Raw genomic sequence first — 16308 nt, 5'->3', positions numbered from 1 at the left:
TGGCCTCTAATTTCAAGTTTTATTTCCTTATTTTATACATCAGGATGCAACTGTACAATTGTCTTGTATAATTCAATTACAAGGTCATGATTATCAAGAGATCTGTTCAACCACTCAATTACTTTTTACTTCTGTGTGAACAGAATTTTTACTCTGCCTCCAGAATCATTTCTATGTGTCAATACCTGTTCATCAATTGGTCATCTAATAACATTTATATCACCTGCTCATCTGATAACATTTTTCTCTTTGGCAGCTTCTGTGCTTTTAATACAGTATATCTTTGCTGAAAATGTTCCCTTTAATCTTTTCTTTTCTCACAAAATCAATTAAAGAAACTAAAATTTAGCTTCTTCTCTCACAGAGGAAGAGGAAGCACTTTGTTTTTATTTTTTTTTTCTCTTTAGACAGAGTCTCACTCAGTCACCTAGGCCAGAATGCAGTGGCATAATCTAGGCTCACTGCAACCTCTGCCACCAGGGTTCACACAATTCTCCTGCCTCAGCCTCCTGAGTGGCTGGGACTACAAGCACACGCCACCACGCCTGGTTAATTTGTTGTATTTTTAGTAGAGACAGGGTTTTACCATGTCATCCAGGCTGGTCTCGAACTCCTGACCTCAGGTGACCCACCCTCCTTGGCCTCCCAAAGTGCTAGGATTACCGGTGTGAGCCAGGGCGCCCAGCCAGCATTTTGTAATAGGTACAAATGAAGAGGGAACACCAAAAGTCTCAAAGATAAATAAAACTTTACTATTTTGTTTTATCAGCGGCAGAAGTCTTAAAAATGTTCTACTCTTTGATCAGTTACTTCATGTGTGAGAATCTGATCTAAGTATCTGAAATGCCATCACAGATATATTCAAAAAGATGTTAACTTTAGCAATGTGCAGAGTGGAAATAATTGGAAGACAACTTTGTACCATTTAAATACAAGTGATATCAAATCCAATTTGCTGTTGTGTAAGATATTTAAATACCTCATAAAACACAAAGTCTGGGCTGGGCGCGGTGGCTCATGCCTGTAATCCCAGCACTTTGGGTGGCTGAGGCAGGCAGATCTCCTGAGGTCAGGAGTTTGAGACTAGCCTGGCCAACATGGTGAAACCCCATCTCTACTAAAAATACAAAAATTAGCCAGGCGTGGTGGTGGGTGCCTGTAATCCCAGCTACTCGGGAGGGTGAGGCAGGAGGATCACTTAAACCTGGGAGGCAGAGGCTGCAGTGAGCCGAGATGGTGCCACTGTACTCCAGCCTGGGCAACAGAGTGAGACTCCGTCCCAAAAAAAAAAAAAAACAAAACAAAAAACACATCAAGTCTGGAGATGAGATGTCCAGGTTTGGTGTACTAGTTCAACATCTTCACCAAGAAACCAAGCCCTCTGTACCTCTGTGATCAGCGATTCACAGGTCTGCTTTTCCTCCTTAGTCATGTCACCTCCTCATAGTCACAGCATGGCTGCTACAGTACACACATCCACATATGAAGTGAAATGGTAGAATGGGGGTCCAAAAGCTTCAACCTTGCAATAGTCTTTTCATCAAGAAAGAGTGTTTCCAAAAGCAAACAAACAAACAAAAACCCAGCAGAGTTCCCTTTATATATTACTGGTTAAAAGAAAATCCAGTGTTTACCCCTAGACCAATCATTAGTGACAGGAAATTGATTGGCTTGAGTAGTTCAGACCACCCAGAATTCATTCCCTGGGGCTGGGATAAGGGCCTTCCTTCCCTGAGATCAAAGCTTCTCCCTGCAACCCCAATCCCATCTATCTGAATAAAATAGAGATATTGTTTGTAAGGAAGACAGAGGGAAAATGTATGCAATAGCATGACCTGCTATAAACCTATTTTTCCAACAGTAGAGGAATGGTGAAATAAATTAAGGTATTTATATCATTAACTACTGTGAAAGTTGATCATATGAACTGGGTTATTCCTGTCATACCCAACTAAAACAGAGTCAAGAGGGCGGGGGGGAAGCACTCAGGACATATAACATTGACCCAAAAATGTAATTCTCTGCAAGCATGTCTGCCGAAACTGCCTGCTATTACTGGAAACCAGTTTTATCTAATGGCTACTGAAATGATCTGCTGAAATTCTAAGGCTAATTTTACCCACTGCCATCACTCACCAATCAAAACTGGCAAGCTCTCCAGAACCTTACTAGTGCCAATGAACTTTCTCAAAGAGCAACACATAACATTTCGCTTTTTCATAAAACCTCTAACCTTCTCTTTGTTCTTCGGACATACCATTCTGTCTGCATGCATGCTCTAAATTGCAATTCTTTCTTCACAAATAAAACATCTTAATTTCAGAGATTCATCTCTGTGTTTCATTTGACTTTGACATACTTGGTCAAGTATGAGTCTAAGGCTGACTCATCTCAGAGAAGATCAGCAGCCATTGGAACTATAGTACAAGGTAGCCACACTGGGGACCTCTGAAAGTCACCCCCTCCTCTAACGGCTTCTGCAAGTTGCCTCTTTTTCCCTTAGTGAGTCATTCTTGGACTGAACTCCCGATTTTGGTTGAGTTCTGTTTTATCTGGGATTTGGATGGGATGGTGTCTTTCCCCTTCCCGTCTGATCTGGCTGAGGGATCTCCTATTAAGGAAGACTCTTTTCCTCCTTGTAGACCCTGGCTGTGGGGTCTCAGGGAAGGGATTTTTCCCTTTGGGTTGAGGCCTTGGGATCTCTCTTTTTTCTTTCAGTTGGAGAAGGCTTCTTATCGTCCTTCTTGGTAAGTGGGTACTTTATTTTCCCATCTGTGCTTGCGTTTATTTGGCCTTTGCAAATTCAGTGCTTATATTTAATTGGTTTTTGTGTATTTGGGATTAAACCAGAGCACCCACAATAAAATGGGCTCTCAAAATTCAAAGGCATGCCAAGATATTTTCTGGGATTCCAGCCGGTAACATGTTCAAACATCGTAAGGATCATTCAAACAGTCTGTTGTTCCTTAAACTAAAAGACCACAGTTAGAAAATAATATACTCCAAATAAGATATGCGTATCTCATTGATATTTTGAGGCTAAAAAAAAGGATTCAGGACTCAAAGAATGACTCACTACAAAACACTGCCTCAAAGCTAGCTGAATCACTTTCCTCTCTAGAGCTTTCCCCTCCCGCTCTGCCTCCTCTTATCTTTTTCTAAACTCTTTCTTCAAAACTCTTCAACTATTCTGGCATACTGACCATTTAAGTAAAACACTTAAAACCAGCAGATATTAAAGAAAATCATTTTGACCTTCATGCTCTTTCCTTTGCAAAAATGAAATTCCCATGTAAAGATAGCCTGCCCACAGTAAAAGGAATGGCAACACTTTTATCTTCAAGGATAAAGAATTGAGACCAATAAAATACTGAACAGACCTTGTTAGAAGATAATTCAGTCATATTTCCACAATTAACTATTCTGTGTCGAATCCAGTTTATTGGTAACTGACTCAAACTACTTTACTCAAAATTTAGTTCACAACCCTTATAATATTGCCTGTTTTAAAAAAGAACATTAAGTTTGGCCTTATTCCATTTTGTCAGAAAGATAATCTGGATCCTACTGTTTTTTATAAATTGGTGAGTGTTTTACTATTTCATGACCAAAACTCTAAAACAAAAGCCATAAGAATTTATTTATAAGTATGTATATCTGTGTAGATATGCTTATATTATATATATATACTATGTTGTATGCTGTGTCTACATAATAAAATCTCATATAGTCAGCCAGAAATCCCTAAAAAAATTTATTCTGATTAGTTTAAGTAAACAAGTGCTCATATAAAATATGTAGTAATTAACCCAAATGTTTTTTCAGTTCTTGTGACTTAAGTAAATCTTTGATAAATTAATTGTTTTTAAAATTGTTGATACAAGCTGGCTGTGGTAGCACATGCCTGTAATCCTAGCACTTTGGGAGGCTGAGGTTGGAGGGTATCCTGAGGCCAGAAGTTCAAGGCCAGCCTGAACAACACAGTGAGACCCAACTCTAAAAAAATTAAAAAAAAAAAAATTAGCCAAGTGTGGTAGCACACACCTGTAGTCCTAGCTAATTGGGGTGGCTGAGGCAGGAGGACTGCTTGAGCCCAGGAGTTCAGGGTTATAGTGAGCTATGATTGCACCACTGCACTCCAGTCTGGGTGACAGAGCAAGACTCTGTCTCTTAAAAAAATTTTTTTTAATTACAAGATAGGCATTAAAATGTGTCCTTTATTGAGAAATAGAATAATTTTGTATGACAAAGAATCTTATGTGGCAAATTTTCATCCTAAAATAAAATGGTTATTTAAGAAAGGAAATACAGGACAAAGCAGAAAGTCCAAGCATGTCATTAATGGTCTGAGTGAAATTGTAATAGGGTTTGTGAAAACGGAATTTATAAATGGAATTTTGTATGTGATCAAGCTGGCTATAATTAAAATAAAATGACATATGGGACTGGGCGCAGTGGCTCACACCTATAATCCCAGCACTTTGGGAGGCCCAGGCAGGCAGATCACAAGGTCAGGAGATCGTGACCATCCTGGCTAACACTGTGAAACACAGTCTCTACTAAAAATACAAAAAATTAGCCGGGCGTAGCGGCACATGCCTGTAGTCCCAGCTACTCAGGAGGCTGAGGCAGGAGAATGGCGTGAACCCTGGAGGCGGAGCCTGCAGTGAGTCGAGATTGCGCCACTGCACTCCAGCCTGGGCAACACAGCGAGACTCCGTGTCAAAATAAATAAATAAATAAAAATTGAAAAATAAAAAAATAAAATGACATGTGGTCTTCCCAAAGATTGAGCTTTGATAGTAAAAAGACACTAATACAAAACTATAAAATTTGGTCTCCTATTGTAGAACAGGGCTTTTCTTAAAGTATTGACATTCTCTTAGTAAAACTGCAAGAGGTTTTGATACTTAATTCTGAAATCTGTTTCTTTTTGAAACTTCTCAAATGTATACCTCAGAAGTTCAAATTCTGCTGTCCTTCACTGTACATGATTGCAAGTCATATATTATTCCCTTCTGTTCTTTCTCCACTTGAAAAAGCGTATCTTTTTGCTTGGCTAGAAGGTGACTCTCTCCAACTTTTTCATCTGCTCCTATAACTTTTTTTCTCCTATTCTAACTCGACTGTTATGATCTGACACTAAGAGGTTTATCTTAAAAGCCTAAAAAAGCTATGTTTTCCTCTACTGTATCTTGGCTTTTCTTGACGTAGCTGAATTGAAACATTCATAATCTTGGGCACATTCTTCCTCTGTCTGATTAATTCAAGTACTCTTTTCATCCGGTTTGATTTCCAGGTTATGTAAGTGAACATCACATAAGAAGAAACAATCATACTACAGAAGGTTTTTCTTCACCTTTTTGGTAGCCTGTTTAAAAAACAAAACTTTTATATGCTTCATTCAGGACATAGGCATGGGCAAAGACTTCAAGACTAAAACACCAAAAGCAATGGCAACAAAAGCCAATATTGACAAATGGAATCTAATTAAGCTAAAGAGCTTCTGCACTGCAAAAGAACCTATCATCAGAGTGAACAGGTAACCTACAGAATGGGAGAAAATTTTTGCAATCTATCCATCTGACAAAGGGCTAATATCCAGAATCTATAATGAACTTAAACAAATTTACAAGAAAAAAACAAACAACCCCATCAAAAAGTGGGCAAAGGATATGAACAGACACTTCTCAAAAGAAGACATTTATGCGGCCAACAAATATATGAAAAAAAGCTCATCATCACTGGTCATTAGAGAAATGCAAATCAAAACCACAATGAGATACCCTCTCATGCCAGTTAGAATGGCGATCATTAAAAAGTCAGGAAACAACAGATGCTGGAGAGGATGTGGAGAAATAGGAATGCTTTTACACTGTTGGTGGGAGTGTAAATTAGTTCAACCACTGTGGAAGACAGTGGGGTGATTCCTCAAGGATTAGAACCAGAAATACCATCTGACCCAGCAATCCCATTATCGCGTATATACTCAAAGGATTATAAATCATTCTACTATAAAGACACATGCACACGTATGTCTACTGCAGCACTATTCACAATAGTAAAGACTTGGAACCAACCCAAATGTCCATCAGTGATAGACTGGATAGAGAAAATGTGGCACATATACACCATGGAATACTATGGAGCCAAAAAAAAGGATGAGTTCATGTCTTTGCAGGGACATGGATGAAGCTGGAAACCATCACTCTCAACAAACTAACACAGGAACAGAAAACCAAACACCACATGTTCTCACTCATAAGTGGGAGTTGAACAATGAGAACACAGGGAGGGGAACATCATACACTGGGGCCTATTGGTAGGTGGGGGGCTAGGGGAGGGATAGCATTAGGAGAAGTACCTAATGTAGATGACAGGTTGATGGATGCAGCAAACCACCATGGCACATGTATACCTATGTAACAAACCTGCATGTTCTGTACATGTATACCAGAATTTAAAACATTAAAAAAAAAAAAAGAACACAAAACTTCCACATTTCATCAAGATAATTTCTGTGTTGCCCTCATTAGGTATCTTATAACTTAGGAAAACTAAACTTTAAGGAAACTAACGTTTTTACATCCATGTAACTTTCTGTATTACTTTGGAAATCTTTTATCACTGGCTGAATGAATATTATCATTATTATTATTATTATTATTATTATTATTATTATTTATTTTTCTTGAGACAGAGTTTCGCTCTTGTTGCCCAGGCTGCAGTGCAGTGGCGCGATCTTGGCTCACTGCAACCTCTGCCTCCCAGGTTCAAGTGATTCTCCTGCCTCAGCCTCCCAAGTAGCTGGAATTACAGGCACCCACCACCACGCCCGGCTAACTTTTTGTATTTTTAGTACAGACGGGGTTTCACCATGTTGGCCAAGCTGGACTCAAACACCTGACCTCAGGTGATCCACCTGCCTCGGCCTCCCCAAGTGTGGGATTACAGGCATGAGCCACTGCGCACAGCCAAATGACCATTATTTTATAGTGACCTGTGTGATTCTGTTTTGATCAGATGTTCTGAGCCTTTTGACATCTTTGACAAACGTCCCCAAAATCAAATCCTCAATTAAGTCTTTTTTTGTTTTTTATTTTTATAGAAACAAGGTCTTGCTCAGGCTGGTCTTGAACTCCTGGACACATGTTAGCCTCCCATCTAGGCCTCCCAAAGCAGTGGGATTACAGGCTTAAGCCACTGTGACCAGCCTCAATTAAGTACTTTTGACCTAAAATTAACTTTGGGGCTGGCTGCAGTGGCTCACACCTGTAATCCTGGCACTTTGGGAGGCTGAGGCAGGTGGATCACCTGAGATCAGGAGTTGGAGACCAGCCTGGCCAATATGGTGAAACTCCATCTCTATTAAAAACACAAATATTAACTGAGCATGGTGGTGGGGGGCTGTAATCCCAGCTACTTGGGAGGCTGAGGCAGGAGAATCACTTGAACCTGGGAGGCGGAGGATGCAGTGAGCTGAGATTGCACCACTGCACTCCAGCCTGGGTGACAGAGCGAGACTCCGTCTCAAAAAAATAAAATTAAATTAAATTAACTTTGGGATTTTCCAGTTCAGCCCCTGGAAAGCCTCAAAAGATCTATATCTCTCATCTTACAGAGATATGAAATGATCAGGCTCATTTAGTAAATTATATAAGAAACTGTTAAATGGTAAGTGATACTAGATCTTATTTTAGTTGCATTTAGGGGTATGTTGTTAACATAAATGTTTCAAAAATTGTATAACTCATAAAAATTGTATAACTCATAACTCAGTCTTAATTCTGATTATTGTATCCTAAAATGCTATCTATAATAGAAATAACAAAATTCCTTATCAATCGTAAACTTTCATCAGATTTTTAACCATGGCTGTTCTAAGCTTTTGTCATCCACAGTTACTGTTTTGTCTCTAAAAACATGCACAATCAGATTCATGGAAAAGACTTCAACAAGTACTCTTAAATATAGGTTGCTGATAACATTAAGTGCAATAGGCTAAATAAAAATTTCCACAACTCTAATAAAGAAACTGACGGACTCATGAAACTATTAACGGAGATCAAGCAGAATATAAATTGATTACATGAGATTAAGTAAAACTTGTCAGCCCTCCAGAACCTTACTAGTGTCAATGAACTTTCTCAAACAGCAATACATAACATTTTTCTTTCTCATAAAACCTAACCTTCTCTTTTCTTCAGACATACCAAAGCCCGCTCAGTCTGTGTGTATGCCCCAAATTGCATTTTTTCTTTTCTTTTCTTTTTTTTTTTTTTTTTGAGACAGAGTCTTGCTAAGTCACCCAGGCTGGAGTGCAGTGGGGCGATCTGGGCTCACTGCAACCTCCACCTCCCAGGCTCAAGCCATTCTCCCGCCTCAGCCTCCCAAGTAGCTGAGATTACAGGCGCCCACCACCACACCTGGCTAATTTTTGTATTTTTAGTACAGACGAGGTTTCACCATGTTCGCCAGGCTGGTCTTTTTTCTTCTCAGATAAAATGTTTTAATTTCAGAGATTTGTCTCTATTTTATTTGACTTTGACACTACACTTCTGGAGAAAACAATACAGAAAAATGCTTTCCATACAATCTTGAGTGGAAAAAGAAGATCAGAAAAGGAGCGTACAAAATGCTCTCAATTTTCTTGAAAACAAAATATATACAAATGTAAAAGAAGAAAAAAGGCTGCAAGAAAGTATAATAAAACATTAACAGTGATTATCTCTGATTTGTAGAAAGTTTTTGTTTTCTAGATTCTGCATTTCCCAACTTTTCTATTAAAAATAAATTATTTATAACAAAAAATTTTAATAAGAATTCCATGACCTTATTTTCATCTATTAAACAAAAACATCACACTCATGGCTATCAAGAATATTTATTAAAAAATTATTTTTCAAGTGTATACTTGCAACATGTTAGAGTAAGCTATAGCCTATAGAGGTTTATAATCTTAGTGGTTTATAAATAAGTGACTTCCAATGAATACTCGATAGATCTCATACTTTGGTTTTAACACTGGTATAAAATGTCATTGTCACCTTAAAGTTTTGATTCATTTATCTCTGAAGTTATTGCAGAAAAAACCCTTTAAGTTAGCAAACATCTAATTAACAGAATAAAGCTAAATACAAACTATGATTTATTAACATTCATTCATTCAACAAATATTAACTATGTGCCTACTATGTGTTAGGCACTGTGCTAAGTCCTAATATGAAAAACGCTGTTAATTCAAGAAGCACATTTTATATTATAACAAAAGTCTATTCGTAAGTGCATCTTTTCTATTAGACTGGAAGCTCCTACAGAGCATAAATTTTATTCTTTATTTTATTCTCACAGCCTGCCCATAAAGTTGGCACTCAAGAAACTTTATTGATGAGTGAGGAAAAAAATGCATAACACAAAATATTCTGAACATGATGTCTGTGCACAAAATCATTGTTGATATTTTCTATGTGCTTTATTGAATGTATTAATGAATTAAAACTATTTTAAAGCTATTTTAAGTTATACGAGTTAATCAGAAGATAATTTGGCATAATAATTTATCACTAAAAAGTTGTTTTAGGCTGGGCGCGGTGGCTCATGCCTGTAATCCCAACACTTTGGAAGGCCAAGGTGGGTGGATAACGAGTTCAGGAGTCCAAGACCAGCCTGGCCAAGATGGTGAAACCCCATCTCTACTAAAAATACAGAAATTAGCCGGGTGTGGTGGCAAGCACCTGTAATCCCAGCTACTCAGGAGGCAGAGGCAGAGAACTGCTTAAAACCCAGGAGGCATAGGTTGCACTGAGCCAAGATCGTGCCACTGCACTCCAGCCAGGGCAACAGAGCAAGACTCCATCTCAAAAAAAAAAGTTGTTTTATTGCCAGGCGCAGTGGCTCACACCTGTAATCCTAGCACTTTGGGAGGCCAAGGTGGGTGGACCACGAGGTCAGCAGTTCAAGACCAGCCTGGCCAAGATGGTGAAACCCCGTCTCTACTAAAAATACAAAAAATTAGCCAGACGTGGTGGCAGGTGCCTGTAATCCCAACTACTTGGGAGGCTGAGGCAGAAGAATCATTTGAACCTGGGAGGCGGACGTTGCGGTGGGCCGAGATCGTGCCATTGCACTCTAGCCTGGGCAACAAAAGCGAAACTCTGTCTCAAAAAATAAATAAATAAATAAATAAATAAATATTTTAAAAGTTGTTTTATTAAATACAATGACTAGCCAGGCACAGTGGTGTGCATCTATAGTTCCATATACTCAGGAAGCTGAGGCAGGAGGATGGCTTGAATCCAGGAGTTGGAGGCTGAGGTACGAAATGATCGCACCTGTGTATAGCCACTGCACTCCAGCCTAGGCAACATGGCAGGACCCCATCTCTAAAAAAATAAAATAAAATAAAATGCCTAATTAGAAATTCAGTAATTTTTGTATTCTTCTAATCTTTACCGTCTGAAACCTTCTCATGCTAGCAAAAACACAAAGAAATAAACTGAACTCAATGTGTCTTTCTAACATCCATACTTTCTTTCTTTCTTTCTTTTTTTTTTTTGAGACAGAGTCTTGCTCTGTCACCCAGGCTGGAGTGTAGCGGCACAATAGCCCACTGCAACCTCTGCCTCCCAGGTTCAAGTGATTATCCTGCCTCAGCCTCTCAAGTAGCTGGGATTACAGGCGCCCACCACCATGCCTGGTAAACTTTCGTATTTTTAGTAGAGATGGGGTTTCACCATGTTGGCCAGGCTGGTCTCGAACTCCTGACCTCAGGTGATCCACCCACCTCGGCCTCCCAAAGTGCTGGGATTACAGGCATGAGCCATTGCGCGCAGCCCCACATCCATACATTTGACTTATGTCTACTGAAACATGAATGATATGAGTGGCAACAGGGAAGCTCCTCAATGATACAGTCTGCAAGGATAATCTCCACCTATTCCCAGTACCTATTTAGAGACCTTGGACATTTACGGAGCAGAAGGAAAAATGGGCTTTACTATTTTGTCAGTTTATACCTTTAACTTTTGTCCTCACATTTGACACTAAATGAATTTTGTGCACTGGCAACTAACATTGAACTTTTTTTTTTTTTTTTTTGAGACAGAGTCTCGCTCTGTCGCCCAGGCTGGAGTGCAGAGGCGTGATCTCAGCTCACTGCAAGCTCCGTCTCCCAGGTTCACGCCATTCTCCTGCCTCAGCCTCCCAAGTAGCTGGGACTACAGGTGCCTGCCTACACACCCGGCTAATTTTTTGTATTTTTAGTAGAGACGGCGTTTCACCATGTTACCAAGGATGGTCTTGATCTCCTGACTTCGTAATCTGCCTGCCTCGGCCTCCCAAAGTGCTGGGATTACAGGCGTGAGCCACCGTGCCTGGCCAACATTGAACTTTTCTGATTCATGAATTTAGATTGCCTATCTAACAGAAAACTAAAAATCCATTTTTTTGCTTATTTTTTCTACAGCAATAGAGCAACTGCTGCTCCTTTGCTTGGGCATCAGGTGAGAGAGCTGACTTGCATTTAGGAGTGAGGCTGCAAGACAATAAACCTTTAACCACCAGAAACACACTTAGTACAGTGAGATTCTCACACAATGAGGGCAGGCAGGACTATAGACAGCAAGACAGAAAGCAGACTCAATTTCTCAGCTCATGCTTATTCTTGGTCACATTACAAATCCTATTACCCACGCTATTTCAAAAGTTTTTTTCTCTTTTATTTGCCAGCATGTAGAGTTGAATCAATGAACATTAACTAGGAATGTGCTGTGGTTCCACTGTACTCAAGTCCTTGCATAAAGTTCTAAAGTAGTTTTATCTTTTACACATTAAAGCTTCTATTTAATTCTAAACATGTTCCTATCTTTCCATTTTCAAAATATATAAAAGGAAAGTATAAGTTTTAATTAACTACAACTCATTTTTCCCCTTCAGTGAACATTTATTAAGTGCTTACTATGTGTACCAGTACCAGACATTATTCCTACAAAAAGCTTAGTGTTTATTTAGCACTGGCAGTTAATCTAAGTGTTAATTGTAGCTCAGCAGCTTATGGTCTTATAATTAAGGTCAGCTAATCTAAACCCCATTTAGGGTGAACAGCAATTTATGTCATTTTTATACAATCCTGTATACTATCTTCAAGAGGAAAAGTTGGTGAACATTTAACTATTTGTAAAATTGGGTTAATATTAATATATAGCCTATTTGTCAGATTTTCGACTGGTTTTAAAAAAGGAATAACTGTTCTATCAATTAAAACATTTCTACTACTTTAATTTTGAAAGTAACAAAGTTTATAAATTCTGCCAGAGTTCTCATTTTAATTTCTTCTACTGAAGAATGGAAATCATCTTTTTTGAAAGACAATATAATAGTCCCAACATATCCAGTTTAATTTTTACCTCTATACTGAAATAGCCTCTGTCCACATAGTCACCCAGAAAGAGGTAGCGTGTGTTACTAGGTGATCCTCCAACTTCAAATAACTTCATTAGGTCAAAGAATTGTCCATGAATATCACCACATACTAGGAAAAAAAGCATAAAGTGATGTGAGAAATTATACCTTAGAAGACGAAGGGCATTACACCAAAAGGGATCACAGTTTAACTTCTAACTTAAATCACTCCAGCTTTTGACAGGACTGCTGTAAAACTGTAGTCAATCTACTCATACTAAATAGTTCTACTGGAAATATGAGACACTTAAAATTGTATTTCTTCAATTAACAACAAATATCCTAACCAATCCTGACTGTCTCATAATTTCTAGAAAAATTACCACACCACTTTTTAGCTGGTTATTTGTAATTATTTCTCAAAACTGCTCATGCAAATCTATACTGTAAAAAAGTATCATGCAAAGACTTTTTATACCTGTGATTGGAGCATCTACTTCTATCATAGTCTTCTCTTGCCTCAGGATGGCAGCCCCATCATTGATTATCTTTAAGGCTACTTCCTCTTCCAGTCGTCCTTCCTTTACCAAATGGTTTTTTAAAACATCAACTTTAGGTTTCCCATTCTCAAATACTTCCTTGAAAGTAAGCCGTTGGGTTGGAGGAAAGGGGACAGCTACAAAAAAATAATAATAATAATTTAAAATATTTAAATGTATAGAGAACAAACAGAACACAATTCTTTTACATGACAAATTAAACCTAATAAATCACCATGATTTCACATCCACAGCACCAGTACGTGGGGAAAAAATTCTAAGATACTATGTATCATAAATGATCAATTCTAAGTATAAAAAGGTGACAGTCATTTTAAATATTTGTGTGTGCATAAATTATAATGGTTTTTGTTGTTTGTTTTTTTGAGATGGAGGCTTGCTCTGTCAACCCAGGCTGGAATGCAGTGACACGATCTCAGCTCACTGCAACCTCCGCCTCCTGAGTTCAAGCGATTCTTCTGTCTCAGCCTTCTGAGTAGCTGGGATTACAGAAGCATGCCACCACACCTGGCTAATTTTTGCATTTTTAGTAGACACAGGGTTTCACCATGTTGGCCAGCCTGCTCTCGAACTCCTGACCTCAGGTGATCCACCTGCCTCGGCCTCCCAAAGTGCTGGGATTACAGGAGTGAGCCACTGCGCCCAGCCCTATGTTTTACACATAAACATGAAAGACTTGAAGCTGATTCAGGGAACAAGTTATAAATGAGACAAGACACTAGATGACATGAGTATCTTTGTTTTTCTATCTATAGAACAGGTGTTAAAAATGAAACTATGGTTAAAGAAAATGAAAGAAAAGTAGTCATAATACTAAAATGGCATTTATTTCTCCTATAGAACTGTCCTAATGACACCTATGTTTTAGAAGTCTCGGCCGGGCACCATGGCTCACGCCTGTAATCCCAGCACTTTGGGAGGCTGAGGCAGGCAGATCACTTGAGGTCAGGAGTTCAAGACCAGCCTGGGCAACATGGCAAAACTCCACCTCTACTAAAAATACAAAAATTAGCCAGGTGTAGTGACAAGTGCCCATAATCCCAGCTACTCGGGAAGCTGAGGCAGAAGAATCGCTTGAACGTGGGAGGCAGAGGTTGCAGTGAGCTGAGATCGCGCCACTGAACTCCAGCCTGGGCAACAGAGCAAGACACTGTCTCAAAATAAAACAAAACAAAACAGAATAAAACAAAAGGCAGTAGCTTAATGTACTTTGTTACTGATAATAACAAGAACACTACTACCAAGATGGAGCTATGTCTGAGAATAATTTGCTGTAGTAACAGAGCATAAAAGAATGGATAAGGGGCCGGGTGTGGTGTGGCTCACGCTTGTAATCCCAGCACCTTGGGAGGCCAAGGTAGGTGGATCACCTGAGGTCGGGAGTTCAAAACCAGCCTGGCCAACATGGTGAAACCCTGTCTTTACTAAAAATACAAAAATTAGCCGGGTGTGATGGCACACACCTGTAATCCCAGCTACCTGGGAGGCTGAGGCAGAAGAATTGCTTGAATCTGGGAGATGGAGGTTGCAGTGAGCCGAGATTGTGACACTGCACTTCAGCCTGGGCGACAGAGCAAGACTCCGTTTCAAAAAAAAAAAAAGTGGATAAGGGAAGTCCAGTTATGTTTTCTAACCTGGAAATGCTAATAACTACCTTCAGTTTACATTAGGTACAAAGTTTATATATATAATATCATGGAGAATTAGCAAGTTCATTTAATATTTTTAAATTGGCTGTTGTCTTGTTATGTGCCTACTTTATAACACAGTCTACTTTAGATCCCCTGGGATCTAAGAGCCACAAGTCTGTAAACCATAAATTTAAAAGGAGGCGTTCAATTGAATTTCTGATATATGTCCAATGTTTCCACTTCCAGCTTTATGGAACCAAGTTGAAATCTATGAGTATTTTTAAAAGACTTAATCTAGCCATACCATATTGTATCATTTACAAGTAAAGAAAGTCCTATTATAAGTTTCGTCATGCTTTCAGCTACTACTTGACTCATTTTAACTACTCAAATTTCACTGAAAAAACGATAGCAGCTACCCAACCACTAAAATAGCTAAATACAGTTGTGTGCCACAAAATGATGTTTTGGTCAACAATGGACTGTAGTTAAATGGAGCTGAAAAACTCCTGTCATCTAGTAACGTTATAGCCACAATAACATCGCAGGAATTGACTAATGAGTGGGAACTGGAATAGGAATGCAAAGCTGAAGAAGCAGCAAGAGAGAAGGAAGTTTGCTGGAGAAAGAAAAAGAACCCCCAACAAAACTCACAGTGAAGGGTTTGGGAGAAGCTTTTGCACACCTCAACAAACTCCTTAGGAAGTGTGAAAACATGGACCCCCAAAAACAGAAAGGTTTTCATTAATACACAGGAATGTTCATGCTGCATTAACTGCTTACAAACAAATCTACAATGAAAAATAGAAATAAACCAAGCAAAACACCATGGGCAAATTTCTGAAAAGAGTGACATCTCCTCAAGAGCCTCAGGCAGGTCCTTCAGGAGGACTTCCAGAAGAAGGTATTGTTATCCTAGGAGATAACAGCTCCATGCCTGTTACTGCTCCTGAAGGTGTGCCAGTGGATAAAGATGTAGGGGGGCAAGCCAGGGATATTCATGATCCTGACCCTGTGTAGACCTAGGCTCAGTGTGTGTGTGTGTGTGTGTGTGTGTGTGTGTGTGTGTGTGTGTTCATTTTTACCAAAATATTCTAAAAGTTAAAAAAAAATTTAAACTTTTTAAATAGAAAAAGCCTATAAAGATATAAAGAAAAATTATTTTCTATAGCTATACAATGTACTTGTCTTTTAAGCTAGGTGTTATTACAAAAAAGTCCAAAAGTTTTTAAAAACTGAAACATTTATAAAGTAAAAACTTAACAGTAAGCTAAGTTTAATATATTATTAAAGAAAAAAAATTTGTTTTTGAGATAGGATCTCGCTTTATTGCCCAGATGGGAGTGCAATGGCACTACCATGGCTCACTGCACCTTCAACCTCCTGGCTCAAATGATCCTCTCACCTCAGCCTCCCAGTCCTCAGCTGGGACTACAGGTGTGCGCCACCATGCCTGGCTAATTTTTGTATTTTTTGTAGAGATGGGGTTTTGCCACGCTCCCCAGACTGGTCTTGAACTCCTGGACTCAAGTGATCTGCCGACCTCAGCATCCCAAAGTGCTGGGATTACAGGAGTGAGCCACCATGCCCAGCCAAGAAAAATTTGTTTTAAATTTAGTGTAGCCTAAGTGTTCAGTGTTTATAAAGTTTATAAAGTCTCCAGTAGTGTACAATAATGTCCTAGGCCCTCACATTCACTCATCATTCACCTCCGACTC

General features: G+C 39.0%; 1 protein-coding gene and 1 long non-coding RNA gene across 7 annotated transcripts in view; one reads left to right on the top strand and one right to left on the bottom strand.

Annotated features, from left to right (window-relative positions):
• Positions 1–6493, top strand: part of LOC124901905 (uncharacterized) — a 72590-nt gene extending 66097 nt beyond the window's left edge. The window contains exon 2 of the long non-coding RNA XR_007060851.1: positions 5300–6493. This is a non-coding gene — a long non-coding RNA (uncharacterized LOC124901905). The remainder of the gene's footprint in view (positions 1–5299) is intronic.
• PPP3CC (protein phosphatase 3 catalytic subunit gamma) overlaps positions 1–16308 on the bottom strand; it is a 100048-nt gene that overhangs the window by 53097 nt on the left and 30643 nt on the right. For all 6 annotated transcript variants that reach the window (XR_007060744.1, NM_001243974.2, XM_047421941.1 and 3 more), the window contains exons 2-3: positions 12878–13075; positions 12405–12529 (exon numbers count right to left, since the gene is read on the bottom strand). Coding sequence is in view for 5 of the 6 variants with exons in the window: in NM_001243974.2 (NP_001230903.1) it covers positions 12405–12529; positions 12878–13075 (323 nt within the window). In the remaining variant the exon portion in view is untranslated. The remainder of the gene's footprint in view (positions 1–12404; positions 12530–12877; positions 13076–16308) is intronic.

This window comes from Homo sapiens, chromosome 8 (genome assembly GCF_000001405.40).
Source record: "Homo sapiens chromosome 8, GRCh38.p14 Primary Assembly".
NCBI classification, from domain to species: domain Eukaryota; kingdom Metazoa; phylum Chordata; class Mammalia; order Primates; family Hominidae; genus Homo; species Homo sapiens.
The sequence above is the reverse complement of the archived record's forward strand: the minus strand, read 5'-3'. Positions and strand labels throughout refer to the sequence as shown.